This window comes from Homo sapiens, chromosome 1 (genome assembly GCF_000001405.40).
Source record: "Homo sapiens chromosome 1, GRCh38.p14 Primary Assembly".
NCBI classification, from domain to species: domain Eukaryota; kingdom Metazoa; phylum Chordata; class Mammalia; order Primates; family Hominidae; genus Homo; species Homo sapiens.
In genome coordinates this window covers 97,319,105-97,337,380 of record NC_000001.11, presented here as the reverse complement: position 1 = coordinate 97,337,380, position 18,276 = coordinate 97,319,105, and the positions used below count along the sequence as shown (strand labels likewise).

At 36.0% G+C, this 18,276-nt stretch overlaps 1 protein-coding gene and 1 long non-coding RNA gene across 7 annotated transcripts in view; one reads left to right on the top strand and one right to left on the bottom strand.

Moving 5' to 3' along the window:
- The window catches only part of DPYD (dihydropyrimidine dehydrogenase), an 843,317-nt gene that overhangs the window by 583,679 nt on the left and 241,362 nt on the right, over window positions 1-18,276 (top strand). The window lies entirely within an intron of this gene.
- Window positions 14,426-18,276, bottom strand: part of DPYD-AS1 (DPYD antisense RNA 1) — a 227,033-nt gene continuing 223,182 nt past the window's right edge. The window contains exon 5 of the long non-coding RNA NR_046590.1: window positions 14,426-14,674. This is a non-coding gene — a long non-coding RNA (DPYD antisense RNA 1). The remainder of the gene's footprint in view (window positions 14,675-18,276) is intronic.

Below are 18,276 nucleotides of genomic sequence, written 5' to 3'. Positions count from 1 at the left end.
GAATTCTGCTTCCTCCCAGCTCTGACTCACCTGGGAATATTTGTTTCTGCTCGGCATTGTACTTTAAGCTCAGTATCAGATAGAAGAACTTCTCCTTTCGGAGACAAACTTCCCTACTCATATGCTTAATCTGAGCCTCATCAACTTCTTAAAAATCTTACTCTCTGTTCAGCTTTTACATTTTTCATTTCTGCCTCTTCATGGTCCATTCCCATTCTCCTACATGCATGATAAAAATTGCTTTGATTCTGCCACCCTCTCAATACACTTGTCTATTTTTCATCATTCCTTCCTTTCTGGTCATTCAGAAAATTCTTTGCTTCCACTCTCCAAACTCTTTCTGTCTGTGCTTTCTCCTACTCTGCTCAAAACACTATCAGAAGTGTCACCAGTCACGTTTTCACAATCATCTCCCTTTTCATGTACTGCACAGAATTTGACCTTATTTATAACTTCTCCTTGAAACCTCTTTAACATTGTATTTTTCCATTCAATCCCATCTCTGTGACCACTTCAGTTTCTACCCTCTGCTGTTCCATTTTCACCTTGTTCCTAAGTCAGAAGTAGAACTCAGCTTTCCTAGCTCCTGATTCACATCTCTTTCCTTGATATGATTTGTTTGTTTGTTTTGAGATGGAGTTTTGCTCTTGTCACCCAGGCTGGAATACAGTGGTGCAATCTCAGCTCACTGTAACCTCTGCTTCCTGGGTTCAAGCAATTCTCCTGCCTCAGCCTTCTGAGTAGCTGGGACTACAGGTACACGCCACCGTGCCAGGCTAATTTTTTGTATTTTTAGTAGAGACAGAGTTTTGCCTTGTTGGCCAGGCTGGTCTTGGACTCCTGACCTCAGGTGATCTGCCCACCTCGGCCTCCCAAAGTGCTGGAACCACAGGCATGAGCCATCACACCCAGCCTTCTTTCCTTGATATGATTTAAATATGTTAGTACATCCATTCATTCTACAAACACTTATTGAGAACCTAGTAGGTATCGACACCTCAGGTTTGATGCCTGGTGGTTTTACTAGACTTAGTTCTTTAAATCATCTTTGCAGTTATGTTTTAAAAACTGCTGTAAAACTTTCAAAATTGATTTGGGCTCATTGATACTGCATTTACCTGTTCTGGGTCAGGCTTTGAATAGCCTACCAGGTGTAATTCAAGAGGCACTCCATAAAGGCTTACTTGCTCAAATGTATCTCTTCTATTATTGTGCCATGGTGTTTGAATTATGCACTATTATTGAGTCATTCTGTGAGGTGGAGACACTGTCACATTGTTGCTTTTTTGGAGCTTTCTTTTAAAATATGAATATTCTTTATAAGGAAAAACTATTAAGCTGTTTATAACTTCATGACTAAAATATGAAACCAGTCACCTCAAAGAGAGACTTGAAGAGATAGAGAAAGACACGAAGGACAAGGATACGAAACACTGGGCAAAGGAAAATGCCCATGAGAGTCAAAGGGAGAAGGAGGTCTGGGTAGCCTTGAAACACTGGGATGGAGGGGGAGGAACAGAAGGACAAAAAATATGAAAGAGTAAATTGACTCTGTTGTCTTTGCTTTCAAAAGGCAGGTGGACTTCTTTGAAGTAAAGCAGCAACTGTACTATTTTCTTTTCCCATATGTTATTTTAAAATGCAAGAAATTTAGAGTTATTTTGATACCTATCTGTTGAATTGGCTGAGTGGAAAAGGTAATGCAGAGGGCTATGGGGACCCAACTAAGTTAGAGAGAGCTGTGGTAAATGGAACTCTTTGAGTTTTGACATCTTTACAAATAATGCCTGATGATTATGTATTCAGTTGTTTTAAGGAAAAATATATAGTGATTCCCATGGAGAAACACAGCATTATCATATCTAAATAGATTCCACCTTCACACCCTGTTTTAAAAAATTTCTAAGGAAGGTGATATGAGCTCAAAGTTCTCCTGCAATCATTTCTGAATATTGGAATCTGTGAAGCTCTTTTAAACAGTTACATGGACTGCCTTTTTCCTGAGATTCTTCAGGAATTCTGGATCCCAGGCATCGTGTGTGTGTGTGTGTGTGTGTGTGTGTGTGTGTGTGTGTGTGTGTACTTAACTCCATAAATGATTGTGATGCATAGCCAGCGTGAAGAACAACTAAGCCAGGAATTTGATGAGCTTAGTTTGATTAGATAAACTGCAGCCATGGAAAGAAGAGGGGAGGCTCTGCTTCCCTGTTAGGAAACATCTTCTAATTAAATTTAGGAAGCAGCCTCTACAAAAGCTGACAGCAAAGTTTTCTATGCAGGCTGCAAAGGAAAGCATGATGAAAAACACAGGAAATATTTTCTCTAGAAGTTTGTCACAGTGACAGGCATTCTGTCGTTTTTTAAAAACCTACTCTTTGGGTCTGTTCCCCACTGCCCCAACACACACAGAACCTCCGTGGTAACACACTTACACACAGTGCTTTTCCCAATATGCACCGGGCTCTCTTGTTCCCTACAGCACCTTTGTTCATTCTTAGGTGGCGGCACAAATTCCCCTCTAATGTCTGCCTCATCAAGTCTATTTGTTCTCCAAGGACAAATTTAAATAGTTCTGCTGAGCACTGATATCCAAAATGACTTCTCTTCTCTAAATTCTACTGTAGTTTGTGACACTGATCTTATAATTATAATTTATTGAGCTCCTACTATGTGGTCAGCACCAGTCATACAGCTGCTATTCAACAGAGCCAGGAAAGCAGAGGCTTAGTTGATCCAAAGCCAACATTCTTTTCATTGCTTTGCAAGTTGCAGTCCCTACTCTATACCACCTTCTATTAATACTTTGATTACTCGGACTTTGTCTTTGCTCCTAGCCTGAAAGCGACTTATGGTCACAGACCACGCAATATGCATGTTACAAATCCCGTAATTCTGCTATTGTTTTGTTTGTTTGTTTTTTAATGTAGACAGATGAGTTGAACAATGACCATGCAGCAGGAATTAGCAAGAGCAGGGGTTATAACTTCAACCATACCCCATGCTAGCACTTGTACATCTGGAGCAGTTGCAGTTCCTCTAGCATCTTAAGTCTTAAGTTTTTAGGCATTTTACTGTCAAATTTAAAATAACTTGCAAGAAAACTCTGCATCTTCAAAAAAGTAGAGTTCCATAATAAGCTAAGTAAGCCAAATTTTTGCAATTACTGAAAAATTAACAAGAAATTATTGGGGAAAAGTAAATCTACTAGTGCTGAGACTTAGATATTCATGAGGGATATGTCCCAAGACCTTCTCAAATCCCCAAGTATCATTATAATATATAATTTTCCTCATAAAATGCAGTAAAGTGTAACTGAAATATTTAAATGATCCCTGTAGACCCCTAATGAGTCTATAGAAACAGAACTAAAGTCGTTTATAATGCTATTAACGTAAATTCTGAATTGAGCACTGGCTAAAACATTTTCAAATATCACTTTTTCTTGTTTCCATATAGAGCATATGGTATGCTCATTTTTGTCTGAGTCACCATCAAATTTATCCAGAACTTCTCTTTTTTGGCTAGGACCCATCAACTTTCAAAAACTGTACTTAAAAATTCAGCTGGGTGCGGTGGCTCATGCCTGTAATCCCAGCACTTTGGGAGGCCGAGGCGGGTGGATCACGAGGTCAGGAGATCAAGACCATCCTGGCTAACATGGTGAAACCCCATCTCTACTAAAATACAAAAAAATTAGCCAGGCGTGGTGGCAGGCACCTGTAATCCCGGCTACTCGGGAGGCTGAGGCAGGAGAATGGCTTGAACCTGGGAGGCGGAGATTGCAGTGAGCTGAGATCTTGCCATTGCACTCCAGCCTGTACGACAGTGTGAGACTCCATCTCAAAAAAAAAAAAAAAAAAAAATCCTAAGACTTAGCAATTGGGGCCGGGCATGGTGGCTCACACCTGTAATCCCAGCACTTTGGGAGGCCGAGAAGGGCGGATCACAAGGTCAGGAGATCAAGACCATCCTGGCCAACATGGTGAAACTCCATCTCTAGAACTAGCTCAGAGACTACAGGAATAGACCGAATGTGCATCATTATAAAGAAGCAGCTCTGACTACAGACCACCACTTGCAGAGCTGGGCAAGAAGGGTGTATTACTCTGGACAGTAGATCTAGGCCCAGAAATACCAAATATTAAAATACAAAAAATTAGCCAGGCATGGTGGTGCATGCCTATAGTCCCAGCTACTTGGGAGCCTGAGACAGGGTAATCGCTTGAAAACCAGGGAGGCGGAGGTTGCAGTGAGCAGATCATGGCACTGCACTCCAGCCTGGTGGCAGAGCAAGACTCTGTCTGAAAAAAAAAAAAAAAAGAATTAGCAGTTGGCTTTCTTTGGGGGTCTTTTAAATAAAACTTCACAAAATTAAACTACTAAGTTAAAAAAAGAGTTGAGACTACAGTGTAGGGGCTAGCTGGAAAAGCTCTTGAAAGTTCAACTCATTCTTAGCCATGTGAGTCATTCACATACCCTCACTGCATGATTCAAGTTTCTTACAGAATTACATATTAATATGTTCTTTACAACCATTCACAAATAGTTGAAACAGCAAATGTTTAGTCTATGACTCTCAGAGATTTAGATTATTTAATTTCAGCCTCTTTTGTGTTTTTCAATGTATCCATCAACAATAATAAAGAATTTACTTACTTGACTATGCATTTTGTTCATTTTTCCAGAGTTTGTGATTTACATTACTATTCATACTATGTCAGGAATCAAAAAAGTGCAATATCTTTTCTATTACATGACAAGGCACCACTATCGTTTTGTTGGTAACTATCTTGAATTGTATTCATGCCCAAGCATGAAGACAGAGTACTTGGCTTGGAGCAGATGAAGATGCTTCTAGGACACAAAACTCAACGAAATCATCAAGCCTTCAAACTCAGAATTCCTAGTTCAATAATTTGCCTATAGTAATGCTATTCCTAGTTCTACTTTAATATTACTACCATCCTTATTATATTGCTAAAAATACATATATGCGTGTGTGTTTAATAAAAATTGAATGCATGTGTGAGAAACTTGAAATAACTCTGTTTTATACATGTACATTTTTATTTAGCTCTTTTAAATTTTCCAAAAACAATCTGGCCCATTTAAAGTAGTTAAATTGTAAAACAGAAGCAGAACTAGCTCAGAGACTACAGGAATAGACAGGATGTGTGCCTCATTGTAGAGAAGCAGCTCAGACTTCAGATTACCACTTGCAGAGCTGGACAAGAAGGGTGTATGACTCTGGACAGTAGATCTAGGCTCAGAAATACCAACGGAATTCTCAGTGTTCCTAGGCACACAATTAGAAGATAACAATGATCAACTAATAGCATCTCAGATGGAATTCATAGGACCTGGATATGTAAACCTTGAATACGAGAGAAATAAAGCATTCTTTCTTCTAAGGTAAAAGTTTCTGGATAATAGATAAAACAGTGATGAGAATATCCCGTTAATACTCCCATTAGATCTGTATTTCTCAGAATTTTTCATCCTGACCTGAACATATATAGCTTCCAAGTGGAATTTTAAAGTTATTTTCTTAATAAAATCACAAGCATTCTTTATATTATCCTGTATCCATGTCTGAACAACAACAAAAACACTATTCTTTATTCTTAAGCTGCCCTACACAAATGGCATCATCATATAATTTGTAGCAAAAGCTAAATGTTATAATACTTCAGAGGAGTTATTAATAATTTAATTTATTAGCTCTAGTCTTCTTTAGTCTTTCTTTCCTCCTTCTTTGCTTTTCTCCTTTGTGAAGAAAATCTCATTACCTACCCATAACCCATATGAACATGAGTGCAAACATTTGCAGTTTCAACTATTGGTGAATGGACTCGTATAAAATATACCAATACACAATTTTGGCAGGGGGGTTGTTTGTTTGAGACAGGGTCTTGCTCTGTCATCCAGGATGTAGTACAGTCGCACAGCCATAGCTTACTGTAACCTCGAACTCTCCTGGGCTCAAGCGAGCCTCCTGCCGCATCCTCCCAAGTAGCTAGGACTACAGTCACACACCACCACGCCTGACTAACTTTTTAATTTCCTCTTTTTCTGTAGAGAAGAGGTCTTTGTTACGTAGGCTGGCTCTGAACTCCTGGCCTCAAGCGATCCTCCTGTCTTGACCTCCTAAAACACTGGAATTACAGGCATGAGCCACCACACCCATCCTCAATATATAGGTTTGCAAAAAATTTGAGTCATGAGGCTGGTGTGAGCTAGTGACTTGGCTAAGAGTTATCCTAACTCTTAGAAGCTTTCTCACACCTGTATCTCAGTTTCCTCTTACTGTGTTATATAGAACTGGATCATGTAGACAGGCAATGATCATATGAAATATGTCAGCATTACATTTGCTTTGCAGTTGCGTTTTATTTTTAAAAAGTTTTATCTAAGTAATGAATATTTAGTCAAGAATTAATATTCAGTCAACAAAGATATCTACTGTGTCTTTCATGTACCAATATTATGATTGTCCCTGTGGATGATATTGCATGATGAAAAAATACATGATCTCTAACTTTGAGCAACTCAAAATCTGTGAGCAAAGACAAAATTTAAGTTCATGAAATTAAAATAATTTAAAGGCAACTATAAAAGCAAATGGATAATTTGTGTAGTTATAGAATATACGGAGTTAACTGTGACTTTCCCAAAAGGTTATCCAAGGTAATTCATCCCCAGTGTACCACACCCTTACAGCCACTCTCTACCCCCTCATCCCTTGCCCTGTTGTATATTTTTAAATCACCTACTTGAAATTATATTACTTATTTATTTTGTTCTTATCATATTTTCCACTAGAATGAAAACTTCATGAGAAAAGTAGCTTTGTCTTATTACTGTCGAGCTCTGGCAGATAGAGTAGCAGTTGAATACATATTTGTGGAGTGAATGAATTAATGAGTATCATCAAATAAGGATTATTACAGACTGGTTATATAACATGCAGCCCACTACTAGGCAAATAAGATAATTATGGCTGATGATACCCTACTGTTTACCATTCACATACTTTAGTTATTATGCAAGTTTGGATATTAATTAAACAACAGTTATAACAATGAACCACAACAAGGAGTGATATAAAAGAGAATGAACTTATCATCTTTTCAATTTTCAATTTTTTAGGGCTGCTTTTGAGCTCATCCTGATTTCTTTTAAAGCCAGGAAAATCAGTATTTATTTTTATTGATTCACTTTATATTGTGTCAGGGCAAAATACAGGAAATTTAATGTCCAAACAGTTGTTCACTATCTAATTAGGAATTAAGAAATATAAGTAAAATGTTTCTTGTATATTAGGATTATATACATATATACATAATAACGAAAGTTGTAGTCAAGTTAGGACTTGAATTTTTTTTGAGATGGAAATACATTGCATATTTTGGTGTTCTAGAAGTGACCAGAAATAACATAGAAATAAGATATCAAAATATTTCCATTCTTTGTAAATTTTAACCTTCATCAAAAGTCACAAACATGGTAAAAATGACCTGATAGTCATTCTTTTGTGAATCTGTGTTCAAACATAGGGTAAGACATTTATCTAGTGTGCCATTCATGCATGGGGTCTCAAAATTATTTCTTTCCTTTTTTTTTTTTTTAAGATGGAGTTTCACTCTGTCGCCCAGGCTGGAGTGCAGTGGCACAGTCTCGGCTCACTGTAACCTCCACCTCCTGGGTTCAAGAGATTCTCTTGCATCAGCTTCCCGAGTGCCTAGAATTAAAGGCACACACCACCATGCCCAGCTAATTTTGTTTTTTTAATTTTTAGTAGATACCGGGTTTTGCCATGTTGGCCAGGCTGGTCTCGAACTCCTGACCTCAGGTGATCCGCCCACCTGGGCCTCCCAAATTGCTGAGATTACAGGCGTAAACCACTGCGCCCAGCCTCAAAATTATTTCTTACCCTTACCCATTAGTAGCCACAGAGTGCTCATCAAACATCACTTTAATACAGGATTAAATACTGAAAATAAAGAATGTTAGCAGTGTACATTTGTAATGCTGATTACATCCCAAAGAGACATATACTTTATTTTGAATATGCTTGTAATATAAATGGCTGTTCCCACTCTAATACGGATAATTCAAAGTTAGTGACATCACCACAAAAATGAATTTATGCAGTATTCAAATTGGTAGCATTTCCACATCCTGAAATATCTTTTTGTAATGCTCATTTCTATTCATGAAATCTTAACAAAATTCAGATTTACTATTATTCTTCTTTTCCTTCTTGTTTAATAGGTGCTTTAGGCTTAAGTTCATCCTACCAAATTGTCCAAAAATCTAGGAAGTAATATTCAGAAGTTGTTTCTCACTCACCTTGGAAAATATTTTCTCTAATCAAACTTTAAACAAATTATTAGCTTTAATTAAATGTGAAATAAAACAAAAGCATACAATAAAAAGCCCTTTGGTGTAAAGAGCTGATACAAATAAGTCCAACTTGAATATTCACAACTTTTCTGTAATAATTGATTGCAACATAATCACAGTAAAATTTCAGCATACTTTAAGTACATTTATTTGTATAAAAGTAAATATATAACTCTGAAATGATTAACAAAATACTACTTAAGTATACTTTGTAAAAGTAAACCTATATTTTATGTAATCTGACCATTTTTCCCTTTTCTAGTAGGATATAGTTCTGTTATCTTTTCTAACTAATGTGTCTTTTGGATACCTATAACACTATTGATACTTTTCAAATAATTTTATCATAGTATCCAGTTATATAACAAGTAGTATTCATTTATTCATCTGTTAAGTACATTTCTATTAAGCAAAAATCTGAGTAAAATCTGAAGGAAAAGTAAATGAGTAAATTCACTCAAGGGCAGGAGCAAGTGTGTGTGATATGAATGGGATGGATATTGTGGATGGAGGAAACAACATTAATAAACTCTGGCCTGGGAGTTAAACATAAGTAGACTAATATGACTTTCCTAACATACTATATAGTGACTGGTTTTCGCTGCATGCCATGATTTATATGTATTATATAGGCTATTGTCTCTTTCTTAATTATTTAGAAATAACCATGTCTATAATATAGTAGCATTACTGTTTTATTTCTTAAGAGGCATCTCTATGGTGTATAAGGTTTAGGCAATTCTATTATGAATAACATAGGCTCAGATTATACATTGTGGACAAATCGAATTATGCATGTGCTATCTGAGAGGAGATCTGTATGTGAGCAAGACATAGAAGCCCTGTATACTCTACTCTCTCTCAGAGGACAGAGGAGATTTGAAGACCAATTGTGGATGGGTATCGTGCATCAACTGAAATACCCACTTATATCTCCTTCATCAGTTGCCCTTGTGTTAACATACAGCATCAAAGTTCCTGCTTGTGCCAGGCCCAGAGCTATGGATTACCCAGTTCTTCTAAGAAGTTATATCTTCTAAATGCCTATTGTTATGTATTTGCTTTTTGTAATATCAGTTTTGCCTATGAACACAGCACGTAGCATCAAAAGCAAGGCAATGTATGAGCACCACCTATTAGAAGAGATTTAGTGCCATGTTATTTATAACAAAACCTGGAAATAATCTCAACATCCAAAAATTGAGAAATAAATAATTAAGTAAAATAGGGTGTATCTATATGATTTATAAATTATTATATGAAATATATGACTGTTAAAATAGTATTTTTAAAGAAGCTTAGTGACATAGGGAATGCACCTTATATAAAAATGAAGGATATATAACTAAAAATGATAAGCATTAAATTTTGAGTACAGTGTATTTACTCAATAAAGGAGTAAAATTTTCTTACTCAAAGGAAATAGACCTTTTTAATTTTATTTCTATTTAGTTGTTTCATTATGAGTAATTTTAGTTTTTTCTTCTTTATTCAAGTTGGTATTTGCTTCCACAATAATTAAGAACTTTTTTTATAATCAGGAAAATAACATTTGAAAAATATAATGTAGGAATATTGAATGAATTATGGTAAATAGTTGTTTCTTTTCTCATTCAAGGTAAGACAAGTAGATATGATTTTAATCTGTAGCAGGATAAGAAAGATATTCATTGGAATTTGATGATTATAAATATTATGAGAAGCAGAGTCTACTGTATCTGTTGCTAGGGATAATTTGAAAGAAAATAAGAAAGCTGGAATGATTTAAGCACCGTAAAGCTAATAGGTGAGAGGACTTGGAAAATCATTAACTGTGGTATATATGTTAGTTTTAATATTGTCTGGGAACTTCTTCAGGTCCTATTTAGGCCTGTGATCTCAATTATGTGTTTAATAAGCAAAGTTCATTTTTGGTGTCTCAGACAGTTGCTGGTTTCACATTGTAAGAATTCAGGATGTTGTTTAAACCACAATTGATTTATTTTAAAATGTCTTATAATCTCTTTATCTTTACATACACTTATTGCCTTGTAACATAACAGATGATCTCTTTCATCATGTCATTAGTTCTAATTGTGAGAACTGTAAAATGATAATTAATTGCTATATTTGTTTTATACGTATTTTATGTAAAACACAGTTATAGACTCTGATAGTTCAGATTAATTTATTGTTAGTTTTCTTTGACTATATGTTTGCAAATATTAATTTCTTAACCCCTTGCAATCTGCCTTCCATCTTATTAGGTGTCTATAACTACATTCCCATAAGTTGCCAATAACTGTGAGTGGTATATTCTATTACTTACATTTCAGTCTTCATTCTACCTAATTTCTCTGCAGTATTTTACCTCAATAATTTCATCCACATCTTTTTTAGGGGAAGTGGTCTTCTCATTTATATTTTTCCTGGTTGTTCTCCTCTCTCTCTGACCATTATAAGGATTCTGCACCTTAGTATTAATGATCCCAAAGCTTAAGCCCTTTTCCTTCCATCTTCTCATCCATTCACAAGACATCAACCACCATCTACTAATTAGAGTTTAATTTGAGAGTTATGCCAATGACTCTCAAATCTATGTTTCCAAAACTCCTTTCTGAGATCCAGATTTCTATTAACTCTCAACCAGATTCTTTCAGGTAGATGTCCCATAGAGACCTCAAACTCAATGTATCTGAAATTCATTCACCCTTCCCCAGCCCTTGCCAAAACCTGCTTCTCTTGTGTTTCCTAACTTGATTGAATACATTACTATCCTCCAGCAATTGAAATCTGCAAAATTTTAAATTTTCATTCCCCAACTCTGATTTGTCCTTATCTTGAAACTTTTTAACATTCATCTTTAAAATAACATCCTAGTCCACTTGAAATTATTGATTTTCACTGACATTGTTTCACATTAGCCATACCTTCTCTTTCTGATTGGTCTCCTGCTTGGACTCTTATACTCTCACCCCATAGACATATATAAGAGTTATGTTTCTAAAACATGGATTAAACATATGGCCTTCCATGTTTTCTTATTGCCTAAAGGATAAGGCACAAAATCTTTCAAAAATTGACCCTAAACTCTAGCTGAACCATGTGGACATGTCTCCTCCCTGCTTCCTTCATATGCACTAGTTTCCTTCCCATTTCATATGATACCATGCATTCCTATGCTTTTGAACCTTTTCTTAAGTATTTTTTAGTCATACATTTTTCCATAGGCTCTACTCCAGCCAGTGATTTTGTGAATCCCTCAAGATTCCAAACTACAATCACCTTCACTGTTGTCTCCTCACATCTCTCTCATACACACACACTCTAGAAGTTAATAAAAAGTAATCACTCCACTGCTAAGTTTTCATTCACTTCATAAACACTTCAAGTAGAGCAGATTGTTTTGGATCATTTTTATGTCTGTTTATTTTACCAAACCCAGAATGGCCTAAACCATGAAGACTGTAAAGCTTTCATGGTTAGAGGCAGGATAGTTGCAAGTGCTCATTTAAGGACATTGGTCCAGATTCAGAAGGTTTCAGTATTCCCACAAATTATTCACTTTCAAAAAAAGGAAAAAGCAGTAAGAAATCTGTGAGTTGCATTTGTGATTTTAGCAGTTTTATGTTAAGTTCTAGGAATAGTAGCAATTTGAAAGGTATGAAATAAAGACTTCTTTATAGTGCTGGATGCTGCCTTTGCCCAGATGATGTAAAAATCTAATTAGGTGCTGCTGCTTCTAGGTGTTAATTACATAACCAGCAAAGTTCACCATAGTATGTTCCTTGTTAAGTGAAAAAAAGCGCAAAGTTTTAAACTATCTAAATTTAGCAGTCCTTTGGGTACTCTGCATTTGTTGAATATTGCAAAAGTAAATACCCATCTGTTTTAGTACTAATATGATTTTGTATATCAAGCACTTTAAAGATTTTTTTCCCCCATGAAAACTTCATCAACTGTTTTATCAACAATGTAGGCTTCAGGCACTTCTGTAAAGTTGAGTTGGGATAAATGAAAGATCCTTGTCGAATTGGTAATCATGCAGGTATTGAGAATGAAAGGGAGATCATATTTTAATTTAACTTCAGTGCCTCAAGATATTTTCCCTTATGGACTATATTACTGTTCTCTGTCTACATATCCATCTTGTAGAAATCATAGCCACTGTTAATACATTTCAAATAAAGCTTTCCTGGATCTGGGTGATATTTATCACTTCTTTCTGCAAGGGTCTCCTGAATTATATGAGGGCTTACTCATTATGACATATTAAAATGCTAAATGATTTATAGAGGAATAGAGATGTATTGTAATTCTAAAGGCCATTTTTATATTCTGCTGAACCTGACATAGTTTAAGTGTCACAACTGAAACTATAACTTGATTGTAAGTTCTTTGAGGACAAAGTTGATGCCTTACTCTTGTAATTTCCACATAGTCCATGAAACTAAGGACCTGCTCGGCCAGGCCAATAGCTCCTTTCTAAAGAAAAGTAAACAGAAGCAGTATTTGGCATACACCTGCCGTAAAAGTGTGTGTCCTGGCTACCTTGACCACAATTTATTGGACCAGATATTGTATCCCTGAGCAAAAAGCAACCACTTGGAGACTAAATAAAAAGAGGTCAGCAACTTGTCAGGAAGTGTGATGCCATAACCCAGGCAATAATGTCACTCCACACTGGATAGTGGCCAACTGCCTGTATCAATTAACACTCTTAATTGCAAGCAACAGAAACTGACTGGCTGTCAGAAGTGAAAGGAGATTTATTGGCAGGATACAAGATGGCTTATGGAATCAAAGAAGGCAGGAACAGCAGGCTTAGAAAATGGGCAAAAAACGAAAAGGCTCAGAGAATGAACACCAAGAGTTGTCCAGCTAATACAGCCTCTACCAGGGTTGATATCCACCACTACTGCCATCATGGGATACTGTCAGGAGATGCTGCACAACACACTACCACAAATACAATTTAACCACTTTTCTGATTGTGAGGTTAAAACTTTGGGCTGGATCTTCAGTTGCCTAGGCCTAGATCATGTACTGGTTTTTTGGTTGCAAGACAGTAGAAAGAGTAAGACCCTCTTTTCAAAGACTTGCGAAATGGGGATAGTTCCTGTGTCCTACCAATGCTTCATATGATTTAAATTTCCTGCAAATAGGAAGGGAAGTCAAATTTCAGACAGCCAAAATATAAAGAACGCTATTTGTACTGAGTGTTGTTCTCTGTGGATTTGTTTTTAAATATATTATATATATATGTATATATATGTGTGTGTGTATATATATACGTGTATATATACACATATATGTATATATATGATATGTATATATACGTGTATATATACACATATATGTATATATGATATGTATATATACGTGTATATATACACATATATGTATATATGATATGTATATATACGTGTATATATACACATATATGTATATATATGATATGTATATATATGTGTATATATACACATATGTACATATGATATGTATATATACGTGTATATATACACATATATGTATATATGATATGTATATACGTGTACATATACACATATGTATATATACGTGTACATATACACATATGTATACATACGTGTACATATACACATGTATACATACGTGTACATATACACATGTATATATACGTGTACATATACACATATGTATATATACGTGTACATATACACATATGTATATATACGTGTACATATACACATATGTATATAAGTATATAAATGTGTATACATATATACATATGTATGTATACACATATGTGGATATATATACGTGTATATATGATATGTATATATACATATATATTTACACATATATATGCCTATACATAAACACACACACATATATATGCATATATATATAAAAAATAGTAAAAAAATTGAATCGGAAAACCAAGTTCAACTCAATTTTGAAAAAAATTGAATTGGAGAACCAAAAAGCTAATATAGGAAAAAGGAGAAAGTGAGTAGAAGTAGAAATGGAATAAGAGATGCTGAGAAATAAGAGCAGATGTATTCGTATTGCAGAGTTTTTAATCCTTAAAACAATAGACACCCATTCCTAAAGTAACAACAAGAAAACAGGAGCTGCTCTTTAGAGCTGCTGTATGTCTTACAAAATGATTTATGGTGTCCCAATCCCCAGAGGCCTAGCCCTTCCTTTACCAAAAACATTTCACTTACTTTTTTATTTTTCCATGTATAGTTGTAATAAACTCCCCAAAATGGGGTAACCTCGCCATGTTTCCTTTCCTTGACACCTGAAAGATTAAAATAGAGAACTCTCTTTTTACACAGACACACCCCTTATGACATGTATGCTTATAAACCACCACATGAGTGTAATAAATATATTCAAGGATTTTTAGGTTCAAGATTGCTAAAGATTTTAGATAAAATCCAGTATCCATGAATTTCATTTTGAATTTGTGAATACTACACTTACAAAAGGTCATGTTTAAAGCCTTCTCTATCCCACATTATCACCAAAGACTTCTACCAAAGTCACCCACTTTAGTATTTCCTTAGTATTATTATTTCCTTTAGTATTTAGTTTTGAGTATTTACCTCAAAAAGGGATATCAGTCCACAGAGCTGGCAAAAACAAGCAAGCAAACAAACAAACAAACAAAATGGCCTAGATATTTCTTTCCAGCTCCTACAGCAGCAGTGGGAAGAAATTTTTTTTTCCCTTCCTAATTCCTTTTATTTATTTATTTATTATTTTTTTTTATTATACTTTAAGTTTTAGGGTACATGTGCACATTGTGCAGGTTAGTTACATATGTATACATGTGCCATGCTGGTGCACTGCACCCACTAACGCGTCATCTAGCATTAGGTATATCTCCCAATGCTATCCCTCCCCCCTCCCCCCACCCCACCACAGTCCCCAGAGTGTGATATTCCCCTTCCTGTGTCCATGTGATCTCATTGTTCAATTCCCACCTATGAGTGAGAACATGCGGTGTTTGTTTTTTTGTTCTTGCGATAGTTTACTGAGAATGATGGTTTCCAATTTCATCCATGTCCCTACAAAGGACATGAACTCATCATTTTTTATGGCTGCATAGTATTCCATGGTGTATATGTGCCACATTTTCTTAATCCAGTCTATCATTGTTGGACATTTGGGTTGGTTCCAAGTCTTTGCTATTGTGAATAGTGCCACAATAAACATACGTGTGCATGTGTCTTTATAGCAGCATGATTTATAGTCATTTGGGTATATACCCAGTAATGGGATGGCTGGGTCAAATGGTATTTCTAGTTCTAGATCCCTGAGGAATCGCCACACTGACTTCCACAATGGTTGAACTAGTTTACAGTCCCACCAACAGTGTAAAAGTGTTCCTATTTCTCCACATCCTCTCCAGCACCTGTTGTTTCCTGACTTTTTAATGATCGCCATTCTAACTGGTGTGAGATGGTATCTCATTGTGGTTTTGATTTGCATTTCTCTGATGGCCAGTGATGATGAGCATTTTTTCATGTGTTTTTTGGCTGCATAAATGTCTTCTTTTGAGAAGTGTCTGTTCATGTCCTTCGCCCACTTTTTGATGGGGCTGTTTTTTTTTTCTTGTAAATTTGTTTGAGTTCATTGTAGATTCTGGATATTAGCCCTTTGTCAGATGAGTAGGTTGCGAAAATTTTCTCCCATGTTGTAGGTTGCCTGTTCACTCTGATGGTAGTTTCTTTTGCTGTGCAGAAGCTCTTTAGTTTAATTAGATCCCATTTGTCAATTTTGGCTTTTGTTGCCATTGCTTTTGGTGTTTTGGACATGAAGTCCTTGCCCACGCCTATGTCCTGAATGGTAATGCCTAGGTTTTCTTCTAGGGTTTTTATGGTTTTAGGTCTAACGTTTAAATCTGTAATCCATCTTGAATTGATTTTTGTATAAGGTGTAAGGAAGGGATCCAGTTTCAGCTTTCTACATATGGCTAGTCAGTTTTCCCAGCACCATTTATTAAATAGGGAATCCTTTCCCCATTGCTTGTTTTTCTCAGGTTTGTCAAAGATCAGATAGTTGTAGATATGCGGCATTATTTCTGAGGGCTCTGTTCTGTTCCATTGATCTATATCTCTGTTTTGGTACCAGTACCATGCTGTTTTGGTTACTGTAGCCTTGTAGTATAGTTTGAAGTCAGGTAGTGTGATGCCTCCAGCTTTGTTCTTTTGGCTTAGGATTGACTTGGCGATGTGGGCTCTTTTTTGGTTCCATATGAACTTTAAAGTAGTTTTTTCCAATTCTGTGAAGAAAGTCATTGGTAGCTTGATGGGGATGGCATTGAATCTGTAAATTACCTTGGGCAGTATGGCCATTTTCACGATATTGACTCTTCCTACCCATGAGCATGGAATGTTCTTCCATTTGTTTGTGTCCTCTTTTATTTCCTTGAGCAGTGGTTTGTAGTTCTCCTTGAAGAGGTCCTTCACATCCCTTGTAAGTTGGATTCCTAGGTATTTTATTCTCTTTGAAGCAATTGTGAATGGGAGTTCACTCATGACTTGGCTCTCTGTTTGTCTGTTGTTGGTGTATAAGAATGCTTGTGATTTTTGTACATTGATTTTGTATCCTGAGACTTTGCTGAAGTTGCTTATCAGCTTAAGGAGATTTTGGGCTGAGACGATGGGGTTTTCTAGATAAACAATCATGTCGTCTGCAAACAGGGACAATTTGACTTCCTCTTTTCCTAGTTGAATACCCTTTATTTCTTTCTCCTGCCTGATTGCCCTGGCCAGAACTTCCAACACTATGTTGAATAGGAGCGGTGAGAGAGGGCATCCCTGTCTTGTGCCAGTTTTCAAAGGGAATGCTTCCAGTTTTTGCCCATTCAGTATGATATTGGCTGTGGGTTTGTCATAGATAGCTCTTATTATTTTGAAATACATCCCATCAATACCTAATTTATTGAGAGTTTTTAGCATGAAGCATTGTTGAATTTTGTCAAAGGCCTTTTCTGCATCTATTGAGATAATCATGTGGTTTTTGTCTTTGGCTCTGTTTATATGCTGTATTACATTTATTGATTTGCGTATATTGAACCAGCCTTGCATCCCAGGGATGAAGCCCACTTGATCATGGTGGATAAGCTTTTTGATGTGCTGCTGGATTCGGTTTGCCAGTATTTTATTGAGGATTTTTGCATCAATGTTCATCAAGGATATTGGTCTAAAATTCTCTTTTTTGGTTGTGTCTCTGCCCGGCTTTGGTATCAGAATGATGCTGGCCTCATAAAATGAGTTAGGGAGGATTCCCTCTTTTTCTATTGATTGGAATAGTTTCAGAAGGAATGGTACCAGTTCCTCCTTGTACCTCTGGTAGAATTCGGCTGTGAATCCATGTGGTCCTGGACTCTTTTTGGTTGGTAAACTATTGATTATTGCCACAATTTCAGAGCCTGTTATTGGTCTATTCAGAGATTCAACTGCTTCCTGGTTTAGTCTTGGGAGAGTGTATGTGTCGAGGAATGTATCCATTTCTTCTAGATTTTCTAGTTTATTTGCGTAGAGGTGTTTGTAGTATTCTCTGATGGTAGTTTGTATTTCTGTGGGATCGGTGGTGATATCCCCTTTATCATTTTTTATTGTGTCTATTTGATTCTTCTCTCTTTTTTTCTTTATTAGTCTTGCTAGCAGTCTATCAATTTTGTTGATCCTTTCAGAAAACCAGCTCCTGGATTCATTGATTTTTTGAAGGGTTTTTTGTGTCTCTATTTCCTTCAGTTGTGCTCTGATTTTAGTTATTTCTTGCCTTCTGCTAGCTTTTGAATGTGTTTGCTCTTGCTTTTCTAGTTCTTTTAATTGTGATGTTAGGTTGTCAATTTTGGATCTTTCCTGCTTTCTCTTGTGGGCATTTAGT